Below are 18,818 nucleotides of genomic sequence, written 5' to 3'. Positions count from 1 at the left end.
GTCATACTACCTTTTACTGAAAAGAATCCATCTTTTTTCCAATGTTTGAACTGCTGCCTTTGTCACATAATACATTTTCATATGTCTTTAGATTCATTTCTAGGCTCGCTATTCTTTTCTGTTTTATGCACCTGGACCAAATTATTTTAATTACTGTAGCTTTATAGTTCTCTAGAATGAGCTTTACTCATTCAAGAAATATTCTATTGATACATTATTGAGATTATATACAATTTATAGGTTGACTTAGAGTGAAGTGACATCTTTACAATGCACAATTCTCCTTCCAAGAACAGGGTTGTATTTCCATTCATTTGAGTTTTCTTTCATGTTCCTCTTTAGTGCCTTAAAGTTTTCTTTTTATGGATTCTGCACCTTTTAAAGTTTATTCCTATTGATAGTTTATCTTTTTAAACTCCTGCTTACAAATGAGATTTTCCTTTCATTATGTGATCTAATTGAATCATTTGTATATAGAAAAATATTGTTATCTGTATATAAAATTTAAATATACACTTAACTACATTTTCTTTATTTTTCTAATAGCTTTTTCATTGATCCTCTTGTGTTTCATAGTTATATAATCACATAATATACAAATAATGATTTTTTCTTCCCCTTAACAGTGATAGCTATCACATTTTTGTATCTTGCTAAAGCATTTAGAACCATGTTAAATAGTAGTAGTGGCAGTGATCATCTTATTTTATACCAGACTTTAATGATTCACTTTTATACATGATAATGACTTTTCTTTATACAGAGTTTTGTTTTGTTTTGTTTTGTTTTGTTTTGAGACAAGGTCTTGCTCTGCTGGCCAGGCTGGAGTGCAGTGGTGCAATCTTGGGTCACTGCAACTTTTGCTTCCTGGGTTCAAGAGATTCTCCCACCTCAGCCTCCCAAGTAGCTGGGATTACAGGTGCCCACCACCATGCCTAGCTAATTTTTGTATTTTTGAATATTGTGTTTTATTCAATACCTTTACCAGCAATGTTTAGGGAGAAAAATGTATAGATGATCATGTTGTTTTTCTAAGTTGATATGTGACTGTAGTGAGTCCTAATGTTGAACTATCTTTGCATTTTAAATCTTAGTATATTACTCTTTTAGTGTGCTGCCAGATTCTAAGTGCTGATATTTTATTCAAGATTTTTGCATTACTATTCATAAGTGAGATTTGCTCTGTTTTTTTTTTTCCTATGCTATCTTTTTCAGATTTTGGTGTCAAAGTTTTTCTGGTTTTGTAAAAAGAAGCTGAAAATATTCTTCTAGACTCTGAATAGTTTAAATAGTAGTAGTTATCTGTCCTGGGAAGGTTTGGTAATTTTCCTTTGTGAAATCATCTGAGTCTTCTACAGTTTGGGTGTCTAGCTTTTTGATTACTTTCTGAATTACTTCTAAAATTAGTGTGTGTAGAATCTTGCCTTTTCCTGGGTCAGCCTGGTGATGCTTTTCTAGGAAATTACCTATTTCATCCCAGTCTTTACATCAAATTAATTAAAATGATTGTGATTCTTTGAATTATCTCTTTATTTCCTCATCATCACTTGGTATTTTGTATTTATTTTTAAATATATTTTCTTCTTCTTTTCTTTATTAGATTTGCTAATGGTATATCTATTTTATTGTTTTCTTCTAAGAACTAGCTCTTGAATTTGTTTGCTTGTCATTTTTTTAACATACATTTTAAAAACATAACTTTTTTATGTTTTAAAATGACTAATTTTTGCTTGTATATCTACTTACTCCTTAGCTTTGATTTCCTTATTTTGTTTATTATTGTGTATTTAAAAAAATGTTTGGAAGTTTATATAACTTACTATTATTCTTTCTAGTTTAATAGTGTATACATTTTAAAGAGAATGAAATACCTAGGAATACAACTTACAAGGGATGTGAAGTACCTCTTCAAGGAGAACTACAAACCACTACTCAAGGAAATAAGATAGGACACAAATAAATGGAAAAACATAACATGCTCATGGATAGGAAGAATCAATATCATGAAAATGGCCATTCTGCCCAAAGTAATTTATAGATTCAATGCTATCCCCATCAACCTACCATTGACTTTCTTCACAGAATCAGAAAAAACTACTTTAAATTTCATATGGAACCACAAAAGAGCCCACATAGCCAAGACAATCCTAAGCAAAAAGAACAAAGCTGGTGGCACCATGCTATCTGACTTCAAATTATATTACAAGGCTACAGTAACCAAAACAGCATGGTACTGGTACCAAAATAGATATATAGATCAATGGAACAGAACAGAGGCTTCAGAAATAATGCCACACATCTACAACCATCTGATCTTTGACAAACCTGACAAAAACAAGCAAGGGGCAAAGGATTCCCTATTTAATAAATGGTACTGGGAAAACTGGCTAGCCATATGTAGAAAGCTGAAACTGGATCCCTTCCTTACACCTTATACAAAAATTAACTCAAGATGGATTAAAGACTTAAACATAAGACCTAAAACCATAAAAACCCTAGAAAAAAACCTAGGCAATGCCTTTCAGGACATAGGCATGGACAAAGACTTCATGACTAAAACACCAAAAGCAATGGCAACAAAAGTGAAAATTGACAAATGGGATCTAATTAAACTAAAGAGCTTCTGCACAGCAAAACAAACTACCATCAGAGTGAACAGGCAACCTATAGGATGGGAGAAAATTTTTGCAATCTATCTATCTGACACAGGGCTAATATCCAGAATCTACAAAGAACTTAAGCAAATTTACAAGAAAAAAACAAATGACCCCATCAAAAAGTGGGCAAAGGATATGAACAGACACTTCTCAAAAGAAGACATTAATGCAGCCAACAAACATATGAAAAAAAGCTCATCATCACTGGTCATTAGAGAAATGCAAATCAAAACTACAATGAGATACCATCGCATGCCAATTAGAATGGTGATCATTAAAAAGTCAGGAAACAACAGATGCTGGAGATGACGTGGAGAAATAGGAATGCTTTTACACTGTTGATGGGAGTGTAAATTAGTTCAACCATTGTGGAAGACAGTGTGGCAATTCCTCAAGGATCTAGAACTAGAAATACCATTTGACCCAGCAATCCCATTACTGGGTATATACCCAAAGGATTATAAATCATTCTACTATAAAGACACATGCACAAATATGTTTATTGCAGCACTGTTCACAATAGTAAAGACTTGGAACCAACCCAAATGCCCATCAATGATAGAGTGGATAAAGAAAATGTGGCACATGTACACCATGGAATACTATGCAGCCACAAAAAAGGATGAGTTCATGTCCTTTGTAGGGACATGGATGAAGCTGGAAACCATCATCCTCAGCAAACTAACACAAGAACAGAAAACCAAACACTGCATGTTCTCACTCATAAGCAGAAGTTGAACAATGAGAACACATGGACACAGGGAAGGGAACATCTCATACTGGGATCTGTCGGGAGCTTGGAAACTAGGGGAGATAGCATTAGGAGAAATACCTAATGTAGACGATGGGTTGATGGGTGCAGCAAACCACCATGGCACGTGTATACCTATGTAACAAACCTGCACATTCTGCACATGTGTAATTAATTCTACCCAGAACTTAAAGTATAATAATAAAAATAATATATGCATTTAAGCTCTGATTTTCCCCGGAACATTGTTTTTACTTTATTCTATAAGTTCTTATGCACATTTTTTCACTGTTGTAGATAATGCTAAATTTTGATGTGGATTTCTTCTTCTTCTTCTTTTTTTTTTTGAGATGGATGCTCACTCTGTCGCCCAGGCTGGAGCGCAGTGGCATGATCTCGGCTCATTGCAACCTCTGCTGCCCGAGTTCAAGTGATTCTCCTGCCTCAGCCTCCTGAGTAGCTGGGATTACAGGCTCCTGACACTGGGCCCCAGTAATTTTTTTGGTAATTTTGCTAGCAACGGAGTTTCACCATCTTGGCCAGGCTGGTCTGGAACTCCTGACCTTGTGATCCACCCGCCTCAGGCTTCCAAAGTGCTGAGATTATAGGCATGAGTCACCATGCCCGGCCAGATTTCTTCTTTTATCCAAAAACTACTTAAGGTGCACTATTTCAGGCACAGTGAATTTCTTTTTTAGTGCATTCTTATTAGTCTTGGCTTTGTTGCTTTGCAATTAGAGAATGCTATCTGAAGTGTTTCTAAGGTTGAACATTTGTTGTTTCACTTGTGACCTCACTTACACTCTGTCATTTTTTGTTTGTTTCACCTGGAATGTCTTGCCCATTCTTTTACTTCAATCTTTTTTAGGAAATTTGCTTTAGATAATATCTTATGTGTAACATATAGTTGGACTGTACATTGTGATCCAATCTTTGAATCTTTTCCTTCTTTAAAAAAGTATCTTAATATGGGGATTCCCCAGGTCCTGACACAGGGATTCTGGAGCAAACAATTTATTTGGGAGATGACTCAAGAGGTACCAGAAGGGAAGTGGGAAGTAAGACAAGGATGGGAAGACAGATAAAACAGGCAAGAATGATCAGCTTGCTACTTAATCCCACTAGGGACCACTGGAAGACTGCACCATACCTACCTGTACATTGTCTAATCAAGGGATATGACCTGGGATATTACCCATCCACTCCCATTCTTCATTGACTGAGAGTTGGTCCCTGAGGCATTAACTGCCTGGCAGTTCTGTCCTGCCCCTTGTGTGGATTGAGTATGCTCCTGTAGCCAGAGAAAGCCCTTGGGCACTGTCCAGATGCTTGTAGTCAGAAGCCATTGGCCCATATGGAAAGGGCGAGTGCTCGCGGATTGTGGGAAGGGTGCTAACAGCATCCACTATGAGAGGTGAACTTATCTTTGCAGGATGAGGAGGTCTTTGGAATGTGGGAAGGAATATTGTTACTCAGAGACATCTACTCATGGACTTGCTTTTTATTTTTTAATTTTTAATTTTTTTTCTTACTGGATTGGAAGCTGGCCTTGCTGACCTTGAGTTTGTCTCAAGTGCTGGAGAGCCTGGGATGTCTATAAATATTTTCTATTAAGGGCACTCTTTTTATGCACATTTTTCTTGTAAGGCCCATATGGAACAGTGAAAATTTTGAGGTTTTCAGTTCAGGTAGGGCCTTAGCCTTATAGACAGCATCACTAGACATTGCATGCCCCACTAGGGTCTCTGGGGGCCAAGGGAAGCCTGTCATAGTCTATATGGCCATTCCACATCTGTTAATTTAAATATACAGATTTTTAGTAAAGAAATCAAGGACTAAATTTTACAATGGATGTGTGTAATTTCAATTTAAAGCTTACTTGAAATATTGCTATCCTAGTTACACTACTGAGAAAATAGGTGTGTCTTAGATCGGCCTATTTTATGCTGTGCTTTCTGTTTTTAAGGTTGTCACTGCTACTGCCTTTTTTTCTCTCCCTCTTCTTTCCTTCCCTCCTCCTCCTTCTCCCCTTTCTTGTTCTATAGTTTGGTTTATGGTATTTTCTTTGGTTTATTTTATGTGTTACAGGAAAAAATTTAGACAAATTAAATGTAGCAGAATTAATTTTAGTAAAAAGTAATTCTTGAGTTGGATTTCATTCAGAACCAGAAGTTCAGAGAAGTCCACCCAGCAAGGTGGACAGCAGTATTTATACGGAAAAAGGGAGAACAGAAATAGCTCAATTGGTTACAGCTGGGCGTTTGCCTTATTTGGGCGTGGTGTAATCTGTTGACAGCCTGTGATTGGCTGAAGCTTGGCTGCTGTGATTGGCTGAGACTCAGCTTTTGTTACAAGAATATAAGCTTAAGTTAGGTTGTTCACTATATATAAAGACAGCTGTAGCCTAAATTTAATTCAATTTGTACATTTTCCCCTTATGTCCAGCCTCCCAATTTTGAGGGATTGACCACAATTTTGTACACTGACACCACTCTTTGTAATCATTATAATAAATTTGTTTGGTTTCAGCATGGAATTCACAATTCATGACGTCACCAGTGGGATGATTCTTTATGTTATTTTCATGTTTTCATTATTCTAACCGGAGTGATACCATTTGATGTGTAACAATTGGCTGCATACAAACATTTAAGAGTCTTGAGAGGATATGGCATGCCAGGGAGACTATTATGATGGCTATCATGAAGATAATATTAAGAGACCAAAGTATATTCCATAACAGGAGCCCCTATGAATCAAACCAATCAAAATCAAATATATCAAAAATGACACAGAAGAGGAATGTACTTGTTTTACCAAGAAGCTTATTTATAGATTTCTTGCAACTGAGTTTCTACCATATTAGACATGTTTATCCAAGCGCAGTGGAAGTGTAGCTATCATCTGCACTTCACCTTGTTCAGCCAGTAGATAGTTAAAAGAAATCATGTTATCTAAAACAACTTTAGCAACAGAATTTAAAGAAATTTGCTGGGCTATCATATCATTTTGCAGTAGAGTCAGCTATAGTAGCTACTGTTTAAGATAGGTTTCTAATCATAACTTTATTTATATTTATGCCAAACCAGGGAAAGAGCATTTTACCAAAAGATACCCATTTAGAGGAACTTACACCTGCTGGCAAATTTCTCTTTATTCTATAGTGCAAATTTAAAGGTGCAGACCAATGTTTACTCTTCAGTTGATTATGGAATGACAGTGATACTGTTAGAATTCCTAATCCATATTGGCCCCTTATTTTCCACTTATTGAGATATGAAGTTACCCACTTACATGGTTGGTTGTTAAATCTCGCACAGATAAAAGTACATCCTAGAGGGGCACAACAGACAGTCCCCTGTGGGATACTTGTGCATTAGGTGGTCACCAAGTGGGAAGCACTAGTAATATTTGTCTAAGGTTCCATTACTGAATCATTACATGGCTGCAGGCAACTGACAATTAAGGGTTTAGAATTCTAAGTTTGTCTATAAACTGTCAAATTATCCTTTTTTTTTGTTTTCGCATTCAATTTTTGGCATAATTTTACTGCAAAATCCTGTCAGTTTTATCTACTCACAGATTTAAACAAGGAATTTGAATACATGAATCTAAAAACCTAACCCCACAGAAAGGACCAGATGTGCAATTGGAACAAATAGTCAAACTTGGGATACTAGTGAAATTTGTTACAGGGTGAATCAGAGAATTTCTAAGATCATGTAGGGATATAAGTTTAACATGACATATCCAACATTCAGTTAAATTCCCTGCAGAAGTTATTGATTGTGAAATCTTAATGATTGGATTATCTTGCCATGAATAAACCTAAAAGAAACACAGGGAAAATAGGAAAGGGGACAAAGGTTTTATGATGACAGAGGAGAGACGTCCTGATCCATGACCTAGGGAAAGCTTTCTGTGTCCAGGATGCTATCTGCTTCTGGGGAAAAATATTTCCTGGTCAGCTTTGCCTTGAAAATATTAAAGGATGTACAGTCCCAAGAGTCTGGAGTAGCCCTTGCTCTGGTTTGAATGTGTCCTTCAAATTTTACATTTGGAAACAGAATCCCCAAATTCATATGTTGATGGTATTTGGAGTGAGACCTTCAGGAGGCAGTTAGAATTAGATAAGGTTATCAGGGTGGGGCCCCCATTATGGGACTTGTGGTTTTATAAGAAGAGGAAGACAGACCTGAGTTGACATAATCTTTCCCTCTCAGGGTGTGATGTCCTCTACCATGTTTTGATGCAGCAAGAAGGCCTTCACAAGATGCCAGCACCATGCCCTTGGACTTCACAGCTTCTCCAGAGCTGTAATAAATACATTTCTTTTCTCTATAAATTACCAAGTCTCAGGTATTCAGTTCTTCAACAGAGAACAAACTAAGACAACCCTCTTGAGTTGAAAGATGTTGATCCAAGACATGAGGTCCTGAAGTTTTTGATTTTTTTCAAGAGACAGGGTCTTTCTGTGTTGCCCAGGCCAGCTTCAGACTCCTGGGCTCAGCGCTCCCACCTCCAGTAGCTGGGATTACAGGCATATGCCACCATTTCTGACCAACTCTGAAGTTTTGCTGTACGGGAGGACTTGGTATGGTACCTTCCAATGGAGTTCAAGGGCAGTCTTCCATTAGCATCTTTTCTAAAAGACCTGATCTCTGGGTTCTAGATTGTAAAAAGTCTGGTTGTTATCACTTGGTGGGTCATAAAGGGCTTTTTTACCTGGTGAAAACATACTTTGGCATAATGTGTTAAGGCCTTGCAATATTGAGTCATGTCAGAGTTTATAAAAGCATGTCAGAATTTGTACATGAGGTTTTATTATTAGGGGCATTGGGCTTCTAGTAACTATTTTATAAAGGGTCAATCTGTGTTTTCCACTGGGGGTAGATCTAATTATCATCAAGGTCAACAATAATACTTTTTGGCCAAGGCAATCCAGTCAATTTAATTAGCTTTGTTTCATGCCATTTGGTTTGTAATACCTTATTTAAATGTTTTATAACTTACTGAGTGAAACAAGTGCCTCTATCACTGGAGAGTTTTCCAGGAATGCCTTAAGAAAAACACATTTTCCAATAACCTTTTAGCTACTATTATAGCACTGGACTTCCTGCATGGGAAAGCTTCTATATCACCAAGAAACAAGCATTGAAGGTGGTGATTGAATGAAATACACCTGAAAGTGTTCAAATAATCCAGCAGGTGCCAGAAATGAATCACCTGAGGTATTTATTGTCTTATCAGAATTGTGAGTTTGACAAACTGAATGTTGATTATAAACCACTTAGCAATTTTAGAATAGTTACTCCACCATTTTTCCCACAAGTTGTATCTTTTTATCTATTCCATGAAGAACCAAAGAATCCAGAGCTTTTAGTAATGGAAGATTTAAGGACTCAGAAAGGACAAGGCAGTCGTCCAGGTTCTTCATGAGTCGATGCTTAATATTGGATTTACATCCTCTTAAATAGCAGTTTTGTTTCTCTAATTCAAGTGCATAACACTGTTTACTAAATAGGTAACCATAGGTAATGTGACTTGGATCAATCTTATGGGGCTCACTCACATTGAATATTTTAATAATTTCAGTACTGACTAATTTAGCATGAAACTCTGCCAAATCATTTCCTTGGTACTCAGTTAATTCTTGTTCTGCGTGGTGTTGAGTTAACAGTTTATGAAGCCAATCAGTTTATTCATTAGAGTTCTGAATTCTCACCCAGTTTAATGGTATCATTTTAAAGTTACCAGAAACCTGTACTTGTCAGAATCCTTTCCATGAATCTCCTTGAAGATGAAAATACTTCAGGTTTATAGTTGCTTGCAATAGCTTTTAGGAAAGTACCAGAGTAAAACAATGAACTCTTTGTGGATGAAGATTTAAAATAGCCATGGCTGAAGATCTGATGAGAATTCATTATAATAATGATGCAATTTATAAGGAGATTTGGTTATTTCTGTAGCATACAACATTTTAAGATAATAAGTAGAATTATGACTAATAGCATTATAACAAGACTATTAGATTTATATAAATTTCATACAATTTCTGGAACATACATTAATAAGAAATTTATACAAATATAACTCAAAAAGGTTTAGCATTACTTATTATTTGATAATTTAAGTTAATACATCAAATAAGCCCATTTGGTTTCACATCTCTCTTTCTGTAAGGAGAGATGATCCTTTTAATGTGTTCTAAAGGCCCAACCGGAAACTCTCAAAACTAATTTGAGGTCAAGAAAAGACAATTTAGAATTTGATTTTGAGAAGTTTGTCAAAAATACCAAGAGTTTAAAATACTTGATCAAAATAGGATTGCAGGTCACCGAGAAATAATAATCATTCATTTAAACAGAGTGTTAATTAAAGGACTTTAAATACAGAAACTTACAGTTGTAGAAAAACCTTAACTCTTTTTAATAGAGAGAACTCAGTTTTCTTAAATGATAAAAACCTAATAAAGATAAAATAAAACAGAGAAGATTGTCTTGATAAAATACAGAACCTTTGTTTCCTAGGCTAATTACCTAAAAGGTAAAGAAAAACCTTTCATCATTTCCTATTAAGAGCAACAATACTCTAAGAAAGTCTTGTTGTCTTAACACAAGGAACCGAATTCTAGTTTTGCATCGGTGTACCTTTAATATTAATCCTCAATTTTTAGAAAAACTTATAATAATTCTTCACTTATCTTAGCTACCTTGATCACACATAATTTTCCTCTCATTAAATTCATCTTCCACAAATCCTCTACGGCCTTATTCATTCAGCTATTTGTGTCCTATATTTTTCCTCTTTTCATTTTGGACCTTCCAGTTATTCTACTTTAGGAAAAAAATTATTATCTTTTCTCTTAAAAAAAAAAATCCTCATACCTTATAGCTTTTCTTTACCAGAAGCACTCTTGCACCCAGAATCGTTCCCCTTATTCTTTCCAGTTATTTTAGTTACGTATATTAATTAGAATTGATAACCCTTCATGACCTTAATTTCCAGTGAACACTAGGAAACAAGCAATTGTGAATTTTCTATCACACTAGAAATCTGTAGATTGGCAAATCTATGAATCATAATTTCTAGAGGAATGTGCTTTCCCATAGTATAATTTGTCACTGTGGCACACTGTGTGTTTACTAACAATCTCAAGTGTATTTGGTTTCTTTTTCATAAGAAACTGTAAAAGAGCAAAAATTTTCTCTCTATCATCAGGTGTTTTTTTTTTCTAGGCCAGAGAATTAAATTATTATTTCTAAATATTTCCCCCAGCCTCAAATTTTCATTTCTGATAATAAAAATGTGAAAAATCTTCTGATAGGTTTATTATGCTTTCCTGGCTACTTTTGTCCTTATTTAATAATTATTCTGTAATTGTTTTTTTCCTTAAGAAACCTGATGTGGGGAAGACATCTTTATTCTTATTTTTGGGGGGTACATAGCAGGTATATATATTTATGGGTCACATGAGATATTTTGATACAGGCATACAATGTGTAATAATCACGTCAAGGTAAATGGGGTATCCATCCCATCAAGCATTTATCCTTTGTGTTACAAACAATCCAAGTGCACTCTTTTAGTTATTTTAAAATGTACAGTAAATTATTGTTGACGGTAGTCACCCTGTTGTGCTGTCAAATGCTAGATCTCATTCATTCTATCTAACTATATTTTTGTATCCACTAACCATCTCCCCAACCCCCAAGCCAATACCCTCCCCGGCCTCTGGTAACCAGCATTCTATTCTCTATTTTCATGAGTTCAATTTTTTTAAATTTTTAGCTTCTACAAATAAGCGAGAACATGTGAAGTTTGTCTTCCTCTCCCTGGCTTATTTCACTTAATGACCTCTAGTTCTACCTCATCTATGTTGATGCAAATGACAAGATCTCATTCTATCTTTATGCCTGAATAGTTCTTTATTGTGTATATGTGCCACATTTTCTTCACCTATTTGTCTGTTGATGGACACTTAGGTTGCTTCCAAATTTTGGCTATTGTAAATAGTGCTGCAATAAACATGGGAATGCAGTTATCTCTTTGATGCATGGATTTCCTTTTTTTGGGGGCATATACCCAGTAAAGAGATTGCTGGATCATATGGTAATTCTTTTTTTTTTTTTTTTTTTTGTGGTATAGTCTCACTCTTGCCAAAGCTGGAGTATAGTGGTGTGATCTCAGCTCACTGCAGCCTTGACCTCCTGGGCTCAAAGAATCCTCCCACTCCAGTCTCCTGAGTAGCTGGGACTACAGACATGCACCACTATGCCTGGCTAGTTTTTATAGAGACAGGGTTTTGCCATGTTCCCTAGGCTGGTCTCAAACTTCTGAGCTCAAGCCATCTGCTGGCCTCGGTCCCCCAAAGTGCTGGGATTACAGGCATGAGCCACTGTGTGTGGCCTAATCTGAGTTTTTTTGAGAAACCTCCAAACTGTTCTCCATAGTGGTTGTGCTAATTTACATTCCAACCAACAGTGTATGAGGGTTTCCTTTTCTCCACATCCTCATCGGCATTTGTTATTGCCTGTCTTTTGAATAAAAGGCATTTTAACTGCAGTAACGTGATATCTCATTGTAGTTTCGATTTGCATTTCTCTGATGATCAATGATGTTGAACACCTTTTTATATACCTTTCTGCAATTTGCATGTCTTCTTTTGAGAAATGTCTGTTGAGATCTTTTGCCCATTTTTGATTGGATTATTAGGATTTTTTTCTATAAAGTTGCTTGAGCTCCTTTTCTGGTTATTAATCCCTTGTCAGATGGGTAGTTTGCAAATATTTTCTCCCCTTCTGTGGGTTGTCTCTTCACTTTGTTGATTGTTTCCTTTGCTGTGCAGAAGCTTTTTAACTTGATGTGATCCCATTTGTCCATGTTTGATTTGGTTGTCTGAACTTGTAGCATATTATTACTCAAGAAATCTTTGCCAAGTCCAATGTTCTGGAGAGTTTCTCTAGTATTTTCTTGTAGTAGTTTCATAGTTTGAGGTCTTAGATTTAAGTCTCAAATCCATTTTGATTTGATTTTTCTATGTGACGAGAGATAGGGGTCTAGTTTTATTCTTCTGCATGTGGATATCCAGGTTTCCCACCACCATTTATTGAAGAGACTAGGGGGATACATGTTTCCTATGGTAATTTTATCTTACTTATATCTGTTTAACTCACTTGGTTTTTAACAATTATGCTTGGATTGCTCATGAAGATAAGACATAAGCAACTAGCCATTGTTATTTTTTATGACAAATTTTAAAATATAGAGATAACATGAGCTTATTTTACCAATAAACCTAGGTAGAAAAAGTTCTGCATCTGTTTTAATCAGACCAACAATATTTTTACTTGCCAAAGATTACCCAAGTCACATGCTTGAAAATCATTTGGGTTAGTTCTTATTTTTCTGAGAAAACACTTCATTTATATAAGCACTTATTTTTCCTTAAACTAATTAAATAAAGCTCATTACCATTTAATTTTGGCAATATCATAAGAAGATAGAAAAATGTCACACATATATGTCATACATGCAGACATACATAAACATATAGATAGAAATACATCTTATTTTCATTTTAAAATTTTAGCCATGTGCCAGGTACAAAAATACAAGCATTTTGTATGACTGCACTCAGGATGGATACTTCTAATCTTGCCTTATTGTCAGAAACTGATTCATCCTTGTTTATTTTTCAAGATTGAATGACAGGCGAATCAGTTGTTGTTGTTTTTTTCCCCCAAGAAAGAGTTTTGGGGCACACCAAAGATCATGACAAGAAAGAGATTCAGTCAATGGAGAGGTCCACATGGAAGAAGCAGGATCTAATATAGAAAGGACTAAATCCTACAAATGCTTTTCTGAAAATGGTCCAAGTGTCATCTGGGCAGATTTGGACATGGGAACTTTTTAGACTCTATTTCAAACTTCCACCAGAGCAATACCCTCTCACTCAGTAGAGATGGGGTCTTGCTATGTTGCCCAGGCTGGTCTCAAACTTCTGACCTCAAGTGATCTTCTTCTGTTGGCCTCCCAAAGTGCTGAGATTCTAGACATGAGCCACCGTGCCCAGCCAAAATTTATATGTGTTATATGCCAGAAGATTAATTTGATATAAGCTACTCCGTTATTACTGGAACTGGAAATGCAATTAAATGTGATCTTGGTTTTGGATTTCATAGTTCAAAATTTACTTGTGTTATAAGACAGATACTCAGTACACAGTAAATATAAGTTAGGTCGTTTTGATTCTGTCTCTTAAATAGATTTACATTTGTCTATTTCTTTCTATCATCACAATGGCTATCCTCATTCACAACAGCATCCATGCTTGCCTGGGCTTCTGCAGTAGCCTCCTAACAGGTTGCTTCATATCCACTCTTGCTCTCTCAGGGTAGACACCCATTCCTATTTTCTTGGTTGGAGCACCATGATTTTCCTTGGGGGATCCATCCAGTTCCATTAGATGACCTCAGAGTGAGTATCAAACATGGTGCTCTCCATTCTCTCATCAACATTCATCTAGACCAGGAGTGGGCGTGTGACCTGTGTTAGGCGTTTGGATTCTCTGATCTAGGCATTTGAATTTTGAGAAGAATATAATAAAGACTGAGGATGACTGGAGTTATCCATCCTGTTGGCAGTGTCAGAAGGTATTATTTATTACAATTTTTGTCTTTAAGTCAGGTTCTTTAAGGTTTTCTTTGATTCTGAGCTCTAGCCCATAGCTTTCCTTTTCCTTTGTTTTTCCACTTAAGTTAACCTGAGTGGGTTTCTGTTGCTTACAACCACATAATTTTACAGGATATTCACTATATAAGTTAGAATAAGCACTCAGCTGCTGTAACAGAGACCCCAAAATACAGTTGTTGAAACGAGCTCTAAATGTATTTCTCTCTCATGCAATAGTGCAGCATGGGTGAGCAGGTCTGTGCCATGAGGTTTCTTTGGCCCAGATGGCTTCTACCTTGTTGCTCTGCCAATTCCTAGGGTGTTGTCCTTGTCATCTTGGTTGATTCCAGGTCACTGCTACATCCACCTTCCAGCCACAGAAAAGGCCAGAGGAGCCCCGGGGCAAGCACTCCCCTTTTAAACATGGAGTGGATGTTGTTCACGCTGCTTATGCTCACGTGCTATGGCAAGACTTTATTTCATTCCACACCTGGCTGCAAGGGAGGATGAGAAATGGAGGTTCTAGCTGGGTGAACATGTGTCCAAGTAACAGAGAAGAAGGATTTGGGGATAATTGGCAGTTTGCCATGTGCCGGGTTTCGGATCCATTCCTCATAACAAAGGCCAGAACTGTTACAAACACACATACCTCCCCACACACCCAAAACCTGAACATGTCATCTTCCTACTTACAACCCTTCCATGGCTTCCTACTGTGGTTGGATTAAGACCAAGACCCTTGCGTGGCTTATAAGGTCTGCAGGTTTTGGCTCTGCCAACCTGTCTAGCCTCCTGGCCCTCTCAATCAGCTTGCTGTTTCCCTCATTTGTTACACAAGTTTCATTTTTAAAAATGCATCATGGGCTGTTTCCTCCTCCTGGAACATTCTTCCCTCCCTTTCCCCTGACCTGTCAATTTCTATTATCCTTCATTTCCCTGCTTAAATGTCACTGTTTTTGAGGAAGCCTTCAAATCCCCAGATTAGGTCAGAATCCCCTAACACACTCACTCTTTTCGCACCCCATACTTAATTTTTGTATTATTTTTCTCCAAGTGAACTTAAATAACCATATAACTGATTAAAATTGTTCTCCCCTGCCAGAACAAGACCCATGAGGACAGGAGACCCTTTTGTCATGGCTTCTGTAGCACCCGGCATAGTGCTTGGAATAGAGGAGACACTCGAGACGTACCAGATGAATCCATGAATGAAAGAAGCAAGTGAAAGTGTCATGCAGTAGCATATTTGGGATGGACCTTTCTTGGTTTTAAGAAACTGGGGCGGCTAGGCGTGGTGGCTCACTCCTGTAATCCCAGCACTTTGGGAGGCCGAGGCGGGCGGATCAACTGAGCTCAAGAGTTCGAGACCAGCCTGGCCAACATGGTGAAACCCTGTCTCTACTAAAAATACAAAAATTAGCCAGGTGTGGTGACGGGTGCCTGTAATCCCAGCTACTTGGGAGGTTGAGGCATGAGAATCCCTTGAGCCCAGGAAGCGGAGGTTGCAGTGACCTGAGATTGTGCCGTTGCACTCCAGCCTGGGCAGCAAAAGCAAAACTCCATCTCAAAAAAAAAAAAAAAAAAAAAAAAAAAGAAACCAGGGCAGATTCTAGGTTCACAAGCGTCCTGACGCTGGATTCTCAGAGATAAGCAGTGGAGGCAGAGCTGGAGGAGACAGAAACAGCAGCCACTGTGAAAGATTTTAACTGGGAGACTCCTATACCCGGAAGTCTTTCAGTTCTGAATCTCGGCAGGTCTGAGCAGGACAGTGGGATACTCTGTTTTCCTTGGCCAAGTACTTGGCAAAAAGAAAGGAAGGAAGAATGTGGAGGAAGAAGGGAAAAGGAGAAGAAGGAGAGATGGAAAAGGAAAAGAATGTGTGTGATGAAGTTTATGCATAGCAGCTAAGAAAATTATGCTCCTTGACAAGGACAATGATAATTCTTTACATGTTTTGGGGCTTTCCTGTTTATAAAGCCTGTTCACAGATGTCATTTTTTTAAAAACTACATCTCTTTGAGGCAGGCAAGACAGTCCTTACTCTCTTCATTTAAAAATAGCTTTAATTGGCCTGGCGCAGTGGCTCACCCCTGTAATCCCAGCACTTTGGGAGGCTAAGGTGGGAGGATCACTTGAGGCCAGGAGTTCAAGACCAGCCTGGGTAACACAGTGAAACCCTGTCTCTACAAAAAATACAAAGAGTAGCCGGGCATGGTGGCATGCGTGTGTAGTCCCAGCTACTTGGGAGGCTGAGACATGAGAATTGCTTGAACCCGGGAGGCGGAGGTTGCAGTGAGCCGAGATCACATCACTGCACTCCAGCCTGGGTGACAGAGAGAGACTCTATTTCAAAAAAATGAAGAAGCTTTTATTGTTTTATTTCTTATTGCAAAAATGATGCACTTTTCCTCTAGAACCAAACTGTGTGAAAAAAAAGGAAAAAAATAAAAACCTCATCATGCAGATGTAGGAGTTGTGAACACCTTGCTGTATATCTTTCTTGATCTTCCCCCAGTTACATTTCATATTCCCATTTTCGGGTGAAGTTGAGGCTCAGGGAGGATGAGTGTTTGTGTGTCTATTTCCTTCTTTGTTCATGTAATTATTGTTATTTTTCTAACAACCTCTGTACCAAAGTGATTTGAAGTGTTGGGCTGACATAGCCATTGAGTGACAAACCCATATTGGGATTCATTTCTTCAGGCTCTGAATTTTGAATTCATGCAGCTGTTTCCACTTCTTCAGCCAATGAAACCTCATGAATAGGAATTCGTCTTCCCCTCCCGGAGAGGCCTGGCCGGAGAGCCAAGAGACACGGGGCGGGCTCTGTAGAGAGTTTAAGGAGGCAGGTTGTGGATGGGAGACATAAGGAAGGCTGACAGAGCCCAGGACAGATGGACAGACTCTCTGATTCCACATTCTGATGCCCAACCTATCAGATGACAATTAGCAGCCACCAGCTGTAAAGTGACTGTGAATAAAATGAGTCTTCTTCTTCTTCTTTTTTTTTTTAGCACATTTAGGAAAACATTTTAAAATTCAATCATGAATGTTTATTGGCAGCCCAGAGGCTATATGGCACCCAGGAGGGCTCAGTATTTGCCATGGGTGTGGGCTCCTGCTGGTATTTTCTCTCCAGCTAGAGCAAGAAGGGATGGGAAAGGAGGGAAGCAGGTTCATTCAGTGGCACCAGTTTCTTGATGCCTGACCTTGAACAAGTTCCTTTTATAACCTTGGTCTTCAGTTTCCCCATCTGTAACTGATCTTCTTGTCCCACTCCAATCCCTGCTGTGTGCCCATTCTCTACACGGTTTCTAGGGGTGATCTTTTAAAAAATTTAAATTAGCTTGAATTAATACTTAAAAGTTTTCCTATTGTCACCCAGGTTCCCCAGGCTTTTGTGTACACACTGTGGAGAAGCACCCACTTGTAACTGTTGCACCTTGAATTTTTTGTTGTTTCAAAAAGTTCCAGGAAGAAGCCTTGCCATAGCAAAACAAAAAAGGTTTGGATTCAGAGATGACTGAGTTGGAGATAAACTTGGCAACCTCTCTGTATTGCTGTACTAAAATCCCTGCACAGGGAGCAGCTTACATGTGACATGTGTAGGAGCATGAGTGATGACTATGCCCTCACCAACTTTACCCCACCTCTACATTGGATGACTCAACTCACCAGCCCAATAGAAGCCCTGTTTTCACCTGGGTTCAGGTAGACCCTGCTTTGGGAACCATCCCCAGTATTCTGCTTACTTGTTCCAAGTAATAAAATCCCCTTGTTAAAACCTTCTTGGTTGTGGTCATTGGACTGTCACCTGCCAAGTGGCCAAACCCACCTGTATTATGGGTAACACTATGTCAGCCCATAACAATGGGAGTAAAACCATAACTCCTTATGGCATATGAAACCAGGCAGTAAGGTACTTTGCCGTCTGGCACCCACCTACTTCTCCAGCCACATTTTACACCATAGTCCCCCTTAATTGTGAAGATGCAGTGACACTTGCAATGAGCCAAGGCAGTTTCCTGACTTGGAGCCTTTGTGTTTCCTCTTCCCTCTGCAGGGAACTCTTCTTGTAGGGCATATGGCAGGCTCTTCTTCATCCAGGCCACAGTTACCTTTTTGTGTGGCCGTCCCAGTGGACAGGGCCCCCTTAGCCCTCATTGACTTTCTATAGCCTAACTCCATGATATGGTTTGACTGTATTCCCACCCAAATCTCATTTTGAATAGTAGCTCCCATAATTCTCATGTGTTGTGGGAGGGCCCCGGTGGGAGATAACTGAATCACGGGAGTGATTTCCCCCATACTGTTCTCATGGTAGTGAATAATCTCATGAAATCTGATGGTTTTATAAGGGGAAACCCCTTTCATTGGTTCTTTTTCTGTCTTCCCTTCTGCCATGTAAGATGTGACTTGTTCCTCCTTGCCCTCTGCCGTGATTGTGAGGCCTCTCCAGCCACGTGGAACTGTGAGTCCATTAAACCTCTTTTTCTTTATAAATTACCCAGTCTAGTGTATGTCTTTTATCAGCAGCGTGAGAACAGACGAATACACTCCATTTTATTTTACTTTACTTTTCTGTTTGAATTTATGGTCTCTCCTCTTCCACACTCTTTATCCCCACACCCACACACATATCTAGAATGTAAGCCAACAGAGGCAGGCCATTTTGATGGGGCCAGCTCTTTCATAAATCAATGCAACTTCATGTCACGTATCCTACAAGTTAAAAA

This window comes from Homo sapiens, chromosome 16, assembly GCF_000001405.40.
Source record: "Homo sapiens chromosome 16, GRCh38.p14 Primary Assembly".
NCBI lineage: Eukaryota > Metazoa > Chordata > Mammalia > Primates > Hominidae > Homo > Homo sapiens.
The sequence above is the reverse complement of the archived record's forward strand: the minus strand, read 5'-3'. Positions refer to the sequence as shown.